Source organism: Homo sapiens, chromosome 19, assembly GCF_000001405.40.
Source record: "Homo sapiens chromosome 19, GRCh38.p14 Primary Assembly".
In the NCBI taxonomy this organism is placed as follows: domain Eukaryota; kingdom Metazoa; phylum Chordata; class Mammalia; order Primates; family Hominidae; genus Homo; species Homo sapiens.
In genome coordinates this window covers 50,601,141-50,616,450 of record NC_000019.10, presented here as the reverse complement: position 1 = coordinate 50,616,450, position 15,310 = coordinate 50,601,141, and the positions used below count along the sequence as shown (strand labels likewise).

General features: G+C 49.1%; 1 non-coding gene across 1 annotated transcript, besides 1 other annotated feature; it reads right to left on the bottom strand.

The window, feature by feature from the left end:
• Positions 1-11,365: 11,365 nt before the first annotated feature.
• On the bottom strand, positions 11,366-11,488 carry SNAR-F (small NF90 (ILF3) associated RNA F). Its single transcript, NR_004384.1, has one exon. It is a non-coding gene; the product is annotated as a small NF90 (ILF3) associated RNA F (small nuclear RNA).
• Positions 13,305-13,472: a transcriptional cis regulatory region, noted in NCBI's record as "candidate enhancer chr19.5650 targeted for multiplex CRISPR interference". NCBI's record gives its function as "positively regulates ATF5 gene expression with high confidence in K562 cells {active_cell/tissue: K562}" and the evidence as "EXISTENCE:mutant phenotype evidence [ECO:0000015][PMID:30612741]".

Sequence of the window (15,310 nt, the reverse complement as noted above, 5' to 3'; positions counted from 1 at the left end):
GCGTAAGCCACCGCGCCCGGCCCCTTGTCAGTCACTTCTTTACCTCAAAAGTAACTACTACCCTGATTTCTGACACCATAAGTTAGTTTGCCTTGTTTTTTATCTTAATCTGCTTGGAATCCTACAAGCATAGAGACTTGTGTGTTGGAATTCTCTCTTTTTTTTTTTTTTTTTTTTTTGAGACGGAGAGTCGCTCTGTCACCAGGCTGGAGTGCAGTGGCATGATCTCAGCTCACTGCAACCTTCGCCTCCCAGGTTCAAACGATTCTCCTGCCTCAGCCTCCTGAGTAGCTGGGATTACAGGTGCGCACTACCACACCCGGCTAATTTTTTGTATTTTTAGTAGAGACAGGGTTTCACCATGTTGGCCAGGATGGTTTCTATTTCTTGACCTTGTGATCTGCCCATCTCGGCCTCCCAGAGTGTTGGAATTACAGGCGTGAGCCATTGCACCTGGCCTGAATTGTTTTATTCATCATACGTCTATGAGATTTGTCCATGTAGTTGCTGATTGTTGGAGGTTGTTCATTGTCATTGCTGTATAAGAGTGTGTTATGAGCCAGGCATGGTGGCTCATGCCTATAATCCTAGCACTTTAGGAGGGTGAGGCAAGCAGATAGCTTGAGCACAGGAGTTCAAGACCAGCCTGAGCAACATAGCAAGACCCCGTCTCTACAAAAAAAATACAAAAATTAGTGGGGTGTGGTGGTGCGTGCCTGTCATCTCAGCTACTTGGGAAGCTGAGGTGGGAGGATGGCTTGAGCTTGGGAGGCAGAAATTGCAGTGAGCTGAGATCACACCACTGCACTACAGCCTGGGTGACAGAGGACAATCTTGTCTCAAAAAAAAAAAAGTGTGTTATGGGAATACATAATAATCTATGTATCCATTCTACTGTTGATTGACATTTAGGTGCCTTCTGATTTGGCATGATCACTTATAGTACTGCTATATACATTGAATTTTGGTGAACATATGTAGGCATTTCTGTATTTCTGTTGGGTATATACCTAGAAGTGTAATTGCTGGGTCCCAGGGTGTATACATGGTGTGTGCATGTTCATCTTTTTTTTTTTTTTGAGATGGGAGTGGCCAGGCTGGTCTTGACCTCAGGTGATCTGCCGCCTCCCGAAGTGTTGGAATTACAGGCGTGAGTCACCATTCCCAGCTTCATGTTCATCCTTCATAGACACTGCCAACCAGGTTTTCAAACTAATTTTCTCCATTTATACACCCACTAGCAGTCTCTGAGAATTTCAGTTGCTCGCCAACATTTGGTATTGTTAGTCCTTTCAATTTTAGCAATTCTGGTGGGGCTGTAGCCGTGTTTTATTATGGTTTTAATTTACCTTTAGCCCAATGCCTAAAGAAATTTAACACCGTTTCGGGCCAGGCGCAGTGGCTCATGCCTGTAATCCCAGCACTTTGGGAGGCCGAGGCGGGTGGATCACGAGGTCAGGAGATCGAGACCACGGTGAAACCCCGTCTCTACTAAAAATACAAAAAATTAGCTGGGCGCGGTGGCGGGTGCCTGTAGTCCCAGCTACTCAGGAGGCTGAGGCAGGAGAATGGCGTGAACCCGGAAGGCGGAGCTTGCAGTGAGCCAAGATCACGCCACTGCACTCCAGCCTGGGAGACAGAGCGAGACTCAGTCTCAAAAAAAAAAAAAAATAGAAAGAAATTTAACACCATTTCAAATATTAATTGGCCATATGAATATGCTACTTTGTGAAATGTCAATTCACGCCATTTGTCCACTTTTTGACTGGTTTTTCTGCCTTTTTTAAAAAACAGGTTAGTAGTTCTTTCTTTATTTTTCTTATGAGTCTTTTGTTAGAATACATATTCTTCTCCCACTCTCTGGCTTCTCTTTTCATTCTCTTAGTGGTATTTTTTGATAAGGATCAGTTTCTATTTTAATATAGTCCAATTTATCAACATTTTCCTTTATAGTTAAGGCTCCTTTGTTTCTGGTTTAAGAAATATTTTCTGGCCAGGCACACTGGCTCATGCCTGTAATCTCAGCACTTTGGGAGGCTGAGGAGGGAGGATCACATGAGCCTAGGAGTTCGAGACCAGCCTGGGCAACATAGCGAGACCCTATCTCTATTAACACAAACAAGTAAATAAAAGAAATATTTTCTTACCCTGAAGGTTCTGAAGATACTCTATGATATTTTCTTCTAGAAGTTTTATTGTTTAAGCTTTAACATTTAGATCTACAACACATCTGGAATCAATTTTTGTGTATGGTGTGAGGTAGAGGTCATATGGCTATCAACTGGCTCAGCCCTATTGATTCAAAAAGATCATCTTTTGCTTCTCACTGCACTGAAATGTTGCTTTTGTCATAAACCAAGTTACCATATATGTGTGAACTTTTCCTGATTTTTCCGTCTTGTTCTTTTGGCCTATTTGTTTTTCCTCGCAAGAGTATGCTGCTTTAATTATTATTATAATAAGCCTTGCTCTCTGGAAAGTACTCTGGCTTTTTTTTGTTTTTAACAAAGGGAATTTGTTGACTTATAGAACCGAGCTGTATAACTAGCTTCAGGCATAACTGGATCCAGGCACTAAAATGAATCTTTAGCAATACAGCTCATTTCCCATCTGGGCTTTACTTTTCTGTATCTTGACTTTCCTCTCAGGCAGAATCTCTTCCCTCACGGTGACAAACAGGGCCCACAGCAGCTCAAAGTTTCCATACTATCATTTTAACAACCTAGCAGAAAAGAGGTACTGCTTTCCTGAATGGTGATACCAAAGTCTCAAGGTTAGCTCTCATTGGTCCAACTTGGGTCACATGTCCATTTCTATAGTAACCATGTGTCTTAGTCCATGTTGTCTTGCTATAAAGGAAAACCTGACGCTGGGTAATTTTTATTTTTATTTATTTATTTTTTTTTTTTGAGACAGGATCTTGCTCTGTCACCCAGGCTAGAGTGCAGTGGTGCAATCTTGGCTCACTACAATGTCCGCCTCCCAGGTACAAGTGATTCTCCTGCCTCCAGTGTAGCTGGTATGACAGGTGCCCGCCACCACACCTGGCTAATTTTTTGTATTTTTAGTAGAGACAGGGTTTCACCGTGTTAGCCAGGCTGGTCTCGAACGCCTGACCTAAAGTGATCCACGAGGCTGGGTAATTTATAAAGAGAAAAAGGTGTATTTGGCTTATGATTCTTCTGGCTGGAAGATTGGGCATACAGAGAAAGTCTTGAGCTGCTTCTACTCTTGGTGGAAGGAGAAAGAAAGCAGGGATCACGTGACAATAGAGGAAGCAAGAGAGGCAAGTGTCAGCCTCTCTTTAACAACCAACTCTAATGGGAACTAATGGAGGAAGAACTCACTCACCCACACTCCCAGGGAGGGCATTAATCTATTTGTGAGGGGTCCACCCCTGTGACCCAAACACCTCTCATTAGGACCCCATCTCCAACATTGGGGATCAAATTTCAACAACGAAATTTAGAAGGCAGCCTGGCCAACACGGGAAAACCCCGTCTCTCCTAAAAATACAAAAATTAGCCGGGCGTGGCATGTGCCTGTAATCCCAGCTACTCAGGAGGCGGAGGCAGAAGGGTCACTTGAACCCAGGAGGTGGAGGTTGCACTGAGCCAAGATTGTGCAACTGCACTCCAGCCTGGGTGACAAAGCAAAACTCTGTCTCAAAAAAAAAAAAAAAAAAAATTGGATGGGACATACATCCAAACTACTGCACATCATAACCAAGGTCATGAAGCACTCAGATTGGCCAGGTCTGACTCTTGTTCTCACTCTGAAATCCCTGGCAAGATCCAGTTAAAAAATGTATATTTTGCATGGGGAGGAGTGATAGGAAAATCAGATGTTTAAGAGAACAAAAAGAGAAGCTATAGATTGTGAGAAAATCTTTTCAAAACACCTTTCAGACAAAAAGCTGGTATCCAGGCCAGGTGTGGTGGCTCACATCTGTAATCCCAGCATTTTGAGAGGCCGAGGTGGGCGGATCACCTGAGGTCAGGAGTTTGAGACCAGCCTGGCCAACGTGGCAAAATGCTGTCTCTACTAAAAATACAAAAATTAGCCAGTCATGGTGGTGGGCGCCTGTAATCCCAGCTACTCGGGAGTCTGAAGCAAGAGAATCACTTGAACCTGGGAGGCGGAGGTGGCAGTGAGCTGAGATTGCGCCATTGCACTCCAGCCTGGGCAACAGAGCAAGACTTTGTCTGAAAAAAAAAAAAAGAAAGAAAGAAAAAGAAAAAAGAAAGCTGGTATACAAAGAACTAAAACTCAACAATAGGAAAACAAACAACCCAATTTAAAAATAGGGAACAGATCTGAACAGACACTTCAACAAAGAAGATATGCAGATGGCAAATAAGTAAATAAAAAGATAGTTGGCCAGGTGTGGTGGCTCCCGCTTATAATCCCAACACTTTGGGAGGCTGGGGCAGGAGGATCATTTGAGGCCAAGAGTTTCAGACCAACCTAGGCAACACACTGAGACGCCATCTCTACAAAAAATAAAAATAAAAAGGTCAGATGTGGTGGCTCACACCTGCAATCCCAGCACTTTGGGAGGCCACAGCTGGTAATTCCCTTGAGCTCAGGAGGTCAAGACCAGCCAGGCAACGTGGTGAAACCCCATCTCTACGAAAAATACAAAAAACTAGCCAGGTGTGGTGTTGCACACCTGTGGTCTCAGCTACTTGGAAAGGTGAGGTCGGAGGATCACTTGAGTCTAGGAGGCAGAGGTTGCAGTCAGCAGAGATTCCAGTGCCACTGCATTCCAGCCTGGATGACAGAGCGAGACCCTGTTTCTAAATAAATAAATAAATAAAATAATAAAAATAGAAATAAAAAAATAGCCAGGTGTGACAGCACACAACTGTAGTCCCAGCTACTGGGGAGGCTGAGAAGGAGGATCTAAGAGTTGGAGGCGGCAGTGAGCTATGATTGCACTGCTGTACTCCAGCCTGGGCAACAGAGACCCTGTTTCTTAAAATAAATAAATAAACAAACAAACAAATAAATAAAAGGTACTTGGGCCGGGCGTGGTGGCTCACACCTGTAATCCCAGCACTTTGGGAGGCCAAGGTGGGCAGATCACCTGAGGCGAGGCATTCGAGACCAGCCTGATCGACATGGAGAAACCCCATGTCTACTAAAAATACAAAATTAGCCAGGCGTAGTGGCGCATGCCTGTAATCCCAGCTACTTGGGAGGCTGAGACAGGAGAATCACTTGAACCTGGGAGGCAGAAGTTGCAGTGAGCCGAGATCATGCCATTGCACTTCAGCCTCGGCGACAGAGCAAGACTCCGTCTCCAAAAAAAAGCGGGGCTCAACATCAAATGTCATTAGGAAATTGCAAATTACAGCAACGATGACATACGACAACCACCTATTAGAATGGTGAAAATCCAAAACATGAATAACACCAAGTGCTGATGAGGATGAGGAACGTCAGGAACTCTTATTCATCTCTGGCAGTAATGCAAAATGGTGCAGCCACTTTAGAAGACAATTTGGCACTTCCTTACAAAACTAAACACTCTTACCATATATTGCAGCACTCATGTTCCTTGGTATTTACTCAAATGAGCTCAAAACTTACATCCACACAAAAACCTGAAGACAAATATTCATAGCGGCTCTGTACATAATTGTCAAAACTTGGAAGCAAACAAGATGTCCTTCAGTAGATGAACAAACTGCAGTACATCCATACAATGGAATATTAATCAGTTATAATAAGCCATGAAAAGATATGGAGGAACCTAAAATGCATATTGTTAAGTGAAAGAAGCCAATACGAAACGGCTACATATGGTATGATTCCAACTATACCACATTCTGGAAAAGGAAACACTATAGAGACAGTTAAAAAAAAATCATTGGTTTTTAGGGGTTTGGGAGGAGGGAAGGATGAATCAGCAGAGCCCAGAGGAGTTTTAGGACAGTGAAACTACTCTGCATAATACTATAATGGTGGACACATGTCATTATAAATTTGTTCAAACCCATAGACAATAAAACACTAAGAGAGAAACTGAATGTAAACTATGGACTTTCCTCTCAATTTTGCTGTGATTTTAAAACTGAAAAAAAAAAAAGGCCTGGCGCGGTGGGTCACGCCTGTAATCCCAGCACTTTGGGAGGCCAAGGTGGGCAGATCATGAGGTCAGGAGATCGAGACCATCTTGGATAACACGGTGAAACCCCGTCTCTACTAAAAATACAAACAATTAGCCAGGCGTGATTGCAGGCGCCTGTAGTCCCAGCTACTCAGGAGGCTGAGGCGGGAGAATGGTGTGAACCCAGGAGGTGGAGCTTGCAGTGAGCCGAGATCGCGCCACTGCACTCCAGCCTGGGTGACAGAGCAAGACTCCATCTCAAAAAAAAAAAAAAAAACCAAAAAAATACTTTATTAAAAAAAAAATAGACTGTACAAGGTATCACACAAGGAGTGGACCTTAATGTAAACTGCAGATTTCAGCTAATAATAATGTATCAATACTGGCTTATTAATTGTAACAAACGTAGCACAGTAACACAAGATGTTAACAGGGAAGATGAGGGGCAATGAAGGGATGAAGGGGGATGTAGAAACTCTCGGTACTTTTCATTCGATTTTTTCCTGTAAACCTAAGACTGCTCCAAAAAAAATTATTAATGAAGAAGAAAATCAGAGATAACAGATGTCACTCAGGCAAAAATATCAGGTGTCCATTATAAGGATCCAAGTTGCCCCTAGGTATTCACTCTAATAACAGTTTGCAACTTGGGGTATGCAGTATAGAAGGGATAAAGAGGCTGGCGCAGTGGTTCACGCCTGTAAGCCCAGCAGTCTGGAAAGCGGAGGCGGGCGGATCACCTGAGGTCGGGAGTTGAAGACCAGCCTGGCCAAAATGGGGAAACCTCGTCTCTATTAAAAATACACAAAATTGCCAGACATGGTGGCACGCGCCTGTAATCCCAGCTACTGGGTCGCTGAGGCAAAGGAATTGCTTGAACCCGGGAGGCGGGGGTTGCAGTGAGCCAAAATCACGCCACTGCACTCCAGCCTGGGCAACAGAGTAAGACTCCGCCTCAAAATAAAAATAAATAAATAAATAAATAAATTTTTTAAAAGGCCAGGTAGCGGTGGCTCACACCTGTAATCCCACCACTTTGGGAGGCTGAGGCGGGCAGATCACAAGGTCAGGAGATAGAGACCATCCTAACACAGTGAAACCCTTTCTCTACTAAAAATACAAAGAATTAGCTAGGCGTGGTGGCACGTGCCTGTAGTCCCAGCTACTCGGGAGGCTGAGGCAGATGAATCACTTGAACCCGGAAGGCAGAGGTTGCAGTCAGCCAAGATCGCACCACTGCCCTTGAGCCTCAGCGGCGGAGCAAGACTCCATCTCAAAAAGAAGCCAAAATTCAAAAATTAGCCAAGTGTGGTAGTGTGCGCCTGTAACCTCAGGGTGAGAGAGGAGACTCTCTTCAACCCAAGAGGCAGAGGTTACAGTGAGACGAGATCATAAGACTGCACTCCACCCTAGGCAATAGAGCAAGACTCCATCTCAAAAGATATATTGCAGTAATTTAAAAACAATTCTATTGGAAGCGCAATTTCTTCCTGTCGAGACCTCCCTTTATGACGGAACAATGAAAAAACAATTTTTTTTCAATTTTGCCCAGGTTAGCTTCAAACACATAGCATCGCCAGCTTGTGCGCCAGGACAACCTGATGGAGCCACCGAAGCTGGTGGGAAAGTGCTCTCAATTTTTCCATTTCACCTTCTGGGGAGCGATGTAGCCAATCACCCCTGACATCACCCAGTCCCCAGGGACAGAGAGGGCCCTACGTTCCATGGCCCCCCTTGGCGGGACGAAAGGGACCTGTATCTGAGAGACAGCAGCCAATCGGGTCCGCAGACTCGGGCCAGGTTCCCATACCGTGCCCAACACCCATCACTCCCCCACGGAGACTCAAGTTACTTTCAATCTCCACATCCCCAGTGCTTGCGGAAGAAATCCGGCTAAGAGACAGAAATGCGAAACGTAGAAAAGATCCAAATTTCCGGCATCCAATTATATACAAGCCTTGACTCGCCAGGCATCCAATCAGAGTAATGGATCCAACCAACTGGAGCAGGTATCCAATTAGGTAGGGCAGGGTTGCCATGATGACACGAGTCTCTCTATAGGGCTCCCAGGGTCGCGGAGCTCTAGCGCTGAGCGCCCCCTGGCGATTGGCAAGGCGTGGCCGACTACTCCAGCAAACGCGCGCTGGTCGAAGGCAGCCAATAAGGCAGGGACAAGCCTCGGTGACGTCACTAGTCGCCTAGCCGGCCGCCGCAGCTTGTGAGCTCGCGCGTGAGTTCGCGTGAGCTCCCGCGAGCCCGCAGGCCACCGCGCGCACCTGTTTCAGAGTGGTGATTGGGGCTCATGCGCTGCTGCTTCCGACTGTCTTTTTTTTTTTTTTTTTTTTTAATTCTGAAGGGAGAGATAAAGGGCAGGAAACGGCGTCAGGCGAGGCGAGGCGAGAGGTTCGAGGTTCTACAGAGATGATCAGACTGACTGATGGACCTCAAGGTGGCCGCTCTGCCCCAGGACAGGCCTATAAGAGGCTGTGGTCACCTAGAAAACATCCAGAGACTAAATGGAGGAAACAGCTTCCAGCTCCCAGAAATACGTTTCGCATTTCTCTCTCCCAGGGGCAGAGTCCCCAACAGCCGCAAACCCAGAGGAGCAGACGACGATTCGGAGAAGGAAGAAAAGACGCTGGGAAGGAGCCAGGGATGACAGGAAGAGAAGGAGACGGGGAAGGGCCCTGAGGCGAGGGAGGCAGGGGAGGAGCGACAAGAGGGGTTGTGACAGGCACCGAGGGGACAGAAAAAGACCCCACGGTCACAGGTGGAGCGCCCGACGGCACAGGGGACTGAGAAAGAGGATGGGGACGGCGACAGGACTGTGAGAAGGCAGCAGCGAGGACAGTGCAGCAGTGGGATCAACAGCAATAAAGAGGATACATTCGTAGGCAAAGGGGACAGGACCAGAGAGAGAAGACAGTGAATCAGATGGGAGCGAACTAGAGAGGTGACGAAGACAAAGATCCCAGGGGCCAGGACAGAGATGAAGGGGTCTAAGAAATACGGGAGAGACGGCCAGGCAAGGTGCCTCACCCCTATAATCCCAGCTTTTTGGGAGGCCAAGAGGCGAGGATCTCTTGAGGTCAGAAGTTCGAGACCAGCCTCCGCAACATGGTGAAACTCCGTCTCCACTAAAAATACAAAAATTAGCCAGGCGCGGTGGCGTGTGCCTGTAATCCCAACCTCCTGGCAGAATGAGACAGGAGACCCGCTTGAACCCAGGAGGCGGAGATTGCAGTGAGCCAAGATCAAACAACTGCACTCCAGCCTGGGTGACAGAGCAAGACTTCGTCCAAAAAAAATTTTTTTTTGAAGTAATTTAAAAACGGCTAGGAAGACGCAATTTCTTCCTCTGAAGTCTTCCTCCCTTTATATTTTGTTGTTATGATATAGGGAACAATAAAATTTTTTTTTTAAATCATTGTTGACCAGGTTGGCCTATAACGTGTACCCTGAACCACGGCGGATCCAGCTGTCCGGGCTCTCCTTTCTTTCCTTTGGTCTTAGGCACAGCGATATAGCCAATCACGACAGGCTCACCCGTGACATCACCCAGTCCCCAGGGCCAGCGAGGGCCCTGCGTTCCATGGCGCATCTTGGCAGGAGGAAAGTGACCTGTATCTGAGAGAGAGCAGCCAATAGGGACCTCTAACTCGCGCCGGGTACCTGCACCGTGTGCAACACCCCTCACTCCCCCACGGAGACGCCAGTCACTTTCCACGTCCACATCCCCAGTGCTTGCGGAAGAAATCCCGCTAAGAGAGAGATATGCGAAAGGTAGGGAAGATCCATAGTTCCAGGCATCCAATTATATACAAGCCTTGACTCACCAAGCATCCAATCAGAGTAATGGATCCAACGAACTGCAGCAGGCATCCAATCAGGTAGGACAGGGTTGCCAGGATGACACGAGTCTCTCCATAGGGCTCCCAGGGTCAGTGAGCTCTAGCGCTGAGCGCCCCCTGGCGCTGGGAAAGGCGCGGCCGTCTACTCCAGCAAGCGCGCGCTGGTCGAAGGCAGCCAGTAAGGCAGGGACAAGCCCCTGCGACGTCACTAGTCGCCAGCCGGCCGCCGCGGCCTGCGAGCTCGCGCGTGAGTTCGTGTGAGCTCCCGCCAGCCCGCGGGCCCGCCGCGCGCACCTGTTGCAAAGTGGCGATTCGGCCCTAGGCGCTGCTGCTTCCGACTCTTTTTATTTTTTATCCTGAAGGGAAAGATAAAGGGCGGGAAAGGGCGTCAGGCGGGGCGAGGCGAGAGGCTCGAGGTTCGAAGGAGATGGTCAGACTGACTGATGGACCTCAGGGCGACCCCTCTGCCCCAGGACAGGCCTAGAAGAGCATGAGACCCCCTAGGAAACACCCAGAGACTGAGCGGAGGAAACAGCTCCCAGGGGCAGAGCTCCCAGCAGGCACAAACCCAGAGGAGCAGAGGACGATTCGGAGAAGGAAGGAAAGACGCTGTGAAGGAGCCAGGGATGACAGGAAGAGAAGGAGACCGGGAAGGGCCCTGAGGCGAGGGAGGCAGGGCCTCCGACCAGGAGCGACCAGAGGGGATGTGACAGAGACGGAAGTGACAGAAAAAGACTCCACGGTCACAGGTGGAGCGGCCGACGGCACAGGGGACTGAGGCAGGGGATGGGGATGGCGACAGGACTGTGAGAAGACAGCAGCGAGGACAGTGCAGCAGTGGGATCAACAGCGACGAAGAGGATACAGTCCGAGGCAAAGGGGAGAGGACCAGAGAGAGAAGACAGTGAATCTGCTGGGAGCGAACTAGAGAGGGGACGAAGACAAAGATCCCGGGGGCCAGGACAGAGATCAGGGAGTCTAAGAAAGACGCGAGAGACGGCCGAGCGCGAGGGCACACCCCTGTAATCCCAGCACTTTGGGAGGCCAAGGGGCGAGATCTCTTGAGGCCAGCAGTTCGAGACCAGCCTCGCCAACATGGTGAAACTCCGTCTCTACTAAAAATACCAAAATTGGCCAGGCACGGTGGCGTGGGCCTGTAATCCCAGCTACTCGGGAGGCTGAGACAGGAGACTCGCTTGAACCCAGGAGGCGGAGGTTGCAGTGAGCCAAGATCACACCACTGCACTCCAGCCTGGGCTACAGAGCGAGGCTCAGTCTCCCAAAAAAAAAAAAAAAAAAAAAAAGATACATTGAAGTAATTTAAAAACACTTAGGAAGATGTCATTTCTTCCTATCAAGGCGTCCTCCCTTTATGTTTTGTTGTTATATAGGGAACGATAAAAAAAATTTTTTTTTTCCTACCAATGTGGACCAAGTTGGCCTCGAACTCTGTACCCTCACACCCTCGCCTCCCTGAGGGCCCGAGGGCCGGCGCAATCGGCCGGAGCCACAATGGCTCCGGCTGTCGGGGCTCTCCTTTCTTCCCTTTGATCTTACGCAGGGTGATGGAGCCAATCACGAGAGGCTCACCCCTGACGTCACCCAGTCCCCAGAGCCAGTGAGGGCCCTGCGTTCCATGGCGCCCCCTGGAGGGAGGAAGGGGAACTGTATCTGAGAGAGAGCAGCCAATTGGGTCCGCTGACTCCGGCCGGGTTCCCGTGCCACGTCCAACACCCCTCACTCCCCAACGGAGACTCAATTTACTTTCCTTGTCCACATCCCCAGTGCTTGCGGAAGATATCCCGCTAAGAGAGAGACATGCCAAAGGTAGGGTAGATCCACATTTCCAGGCATCCAGTTATGTACAAGCCTTGACCCACCAGGCATCCGATCAGAGTAATGGATCCAACGAACGGCAGCAGGTATCCAATCAGGTAGGACAGGGTTGCCAGGATGACACGAGTCTCTCCATAGGGCTCCCAGGGTCAGTGAGCTCTAGCGCTGAGCGCCCCCTGGCGCTGGGAAAGGCGCGGCCGTCTACTCCAGCAAGCGCGCGCTGGTCGAAGGCAGCCAGTAAGGCAGGGACAAGCCCCTGCGACGTCACTAGTCGCCAGCCGGCCGCCGCGGCCTGCGAGCTCGCGCGTGAGTTCGTGTGAGCTCCCGCCAGCCCGCGGACCCGCCGCGCACACCTGTTCCAGAGTGGCGATTGGGCCCTAGGCGCTGATGCTTCCGACTCTTTTTATTTTTTATCCTGAAGGGAAAGATAAAGGGCGGGAAAGGGCGTCAGGCGAGGCGAGGCGAGAGGCTCGAGGTTCGAAGGAGATGGTCAGACTGACTGATGGACCTCAGGGCGACCCCTCTGCCCCAGGACAGGCCTAGAAGAGCATGTGACCCCCTAGGAAACACCCAGAGACTGAGCGGAGGAAACAGCTCCCAGGGGCAGAGCTCCCAGCAGGCGCAAACCCAGAGGAGCAGAGGACGATTCGGAGAAGGAAGGAAAGACGCTGGGAAGGAGCCAGGGATGACAGGAAGAGAAGGAGCGGGGAAGGGCCCTGAGGCGAGGGAGGCAGGGCCTCCGACCAGGAGCGACCAGAGGGGATGTGACAGAGACGGAAGTGACAGAAAAAGACTCCACGGTCACAGGTGGAGCGGCCGACGGCACAGGGGACTGAGGCAGGGGATGGGGATGGCGACAGGACTGTGAGAAGACAGCAGCGAGGACAGTGCAGCAGTGGGATCAACAGCGACGAAGAGGATACAGTCCGAGGCAAAGGGGAGAGGACCAGAGAGAGAAGACAGTGAATCTGCTGGGAGCGAACTAGAGAGGGGACGAAGACAAAGATCCCGGGGGCCAGGACAGAGATCAGGGAGTCTAAGAAAGACGCGAGAGACGGCCGAGCGCGAGGGCACACCCCTGTAATCCCAGCACTTTGGGAGGCCAAGGCGGGAGGATCACTTGATGCCGGAAGTTCAGGACCATCCTGGCCAACACGGTGAAACCCCGTCTCTACTAAAAATACAAAAATTAGGCGGGTCTGGTGGCGGCGCCTGTAGTGCCTGCTACTGGAGAGTTCCAGCTACTGGAGAGGCTGAGGCAGGAGAATCGCTTGAACTCGGGAGGCAAAGGTTGCAGTTTACCAAGATTGTGTCACTGCACTCCAGCCTGGGCGACAGGGTGAGACTACGTCAAAAAAACACAAAGCAACAACAACAAAAGAAAAAAAAAAAAAGAAAAAGTGAGAGAAAGAGAGAAGAAGGAGAGGGAGAGGAGAGGGAGAAGGGGAAGGAGAAGGAGAAGGAGAGGGGAAGAAGAGGAAGGAGGAAGATGGGAGAGATACCAAGGGGACAGTAATAGAAACAGGGAGGACTGTGACAGAAGGGACAGAGACTAAGGGACAGTGATAGGGGAGAAAGAGATAAGGGGATGTGGCCGACACAGAGAAGGTGACAGCCATAGAGACAGAGAAGACAGAGACCCAAAGGCTATAAAGATATAGTGGACAGTGTTAGACACATGGCAGAGATAACAGAAGTGATACGGGGACAAGTGACAAATATGGAGATGGTGCCAGAGACAAAATCTGAGGCAACAGCGAGTGAGGCAAAGAGAACAAACTCAGATGGATGGGGCAGAGATAATGGTGTCAATATCAGAGATTCAGGAAGCAATAGTAGATTAAGAGTGCACAGAGGGCACAGAGAGCTGGTGGCAAATAGCAAAGACAGGCCGGGCACGGTGGCTCATGAATGTAATCCCAGCACTTTGGGAGGCAGAGGTGGGCAGATCACTTGAGGTCAGGAGTTCAAGACCAGCCCGGCCAACGTGGCAAAAGCCTGTCTCTACAAAAAAACATATAAAAGTTCACTGGGCATGGTGTTGTGCGCCTGTGGTCTCAGCCATTTGGGAGGCTGAGGCAGGAGGATCACTTGGGCCAGGGAGGTCAAGGCTGCAGTGAGCTATGTTGATGCCACTGTCCTCCAACCTGGGCAACAAAAGGAGACCGTGTCCCTACAAAAATGTTTAAAATTAGCCAGGCATGGTGATAGTGACACACATCTGTGGTCCTAGCTACCTGGGAGGCTGAGGTGGGAGGATCACTAGAGCCTGAGAGTTGGAGGCTGCAGTGCGTGGTGTTCGCACCACTGCACTCCAGCCTCGTCTGGGCAACAGAGTGAGACTCTGTCAAAAAGAAAGAAAAGAAAAGAGAATAGCAAAGAGAGAAGTGGAACAGAAGCTGACGGGACAGAGACGGAGATAGAAGGTAGAACTCAGAGAAAGAGGCTCCAACAGAAATAGAGGAGACAGAAGCCAAGCAAGGGACAGAGATGGAGGATTCAGAGTGAGAGGAGACAGAGCCAGGGGGAATGGCAACAGAATGCACAGACTCTGAGTGGAGGGCAGTTGTGGTGACACTACCAGGATGAACATAACAGAGTTCATTCAATGAGAGAGAGTGGTGAAGATATAAAGGCAGAGAGCGTGACGTCAGACAGAAGGGATGGTAACATAAAAAGGGGGTGATAGAGAAAAGTCATGAGGCAAGACGCGGGGGTAGATGGAAGATGGCTTGTCAGACATCCTGCAGCTAGAGATTAGGGGTGCGGGCAAAGTCAGAAACCATTAGAATTGTATCTTATGGGGGAGGAGAGTGACGGGAAGTACATGATCAAGACCCACTAGAGAAAGATAAGGACACAGAGACTGAGTCACAGAGATGAATAGAGAGAAAGGGCAAAGAAAGGAAATGAGAGGGTCAGAGCTGTCTGAGACTTGGTAAAGGGTGACGACAACAGACAAAAGCAAAGATAGGCGAACTGAGCAAAGACCCAGAGAGAGTGACGGGAACCCACAAACCCGTCGGTAGCTGAGACCTGCCACTCAGCTCAGTACCTAAACCTGGGAAGTACTGAAAGCCAAGAACACTTGAGGTTCCTTCTGCCAGTTTGGTTAAGTTGTGACCTTGATTTGGAATTGTGATTTGAAAGATCTTGACACTGAATCCCCCAGTCCTCTTTCTTTGGCCCACAGTAGCCATGGCACAAAGCACTAAGCAAAATCATTCTTTTTTCATTCATTCATTCAACAACTATTGAGTATTCACTATTTTCCAGGCATTATTGTGGGTGCCAGGGAGACGACAGCAGCAAACAAAGTACATGCACCCACGCAGCTTTCAGCCTAGTTGGTGGACAAATAAATATATAATGTCAAGTAGTGTTAAATGCTAAGAAGAGAAATTAAGCAAAGATGAGAGGACAGAGTAATTGAGGTTGCTGATAATGGCAGGCTAGGTTATTCAGACCAACATTCCCACTAAAAGCAACTAAAAATGCTGGATGCGTT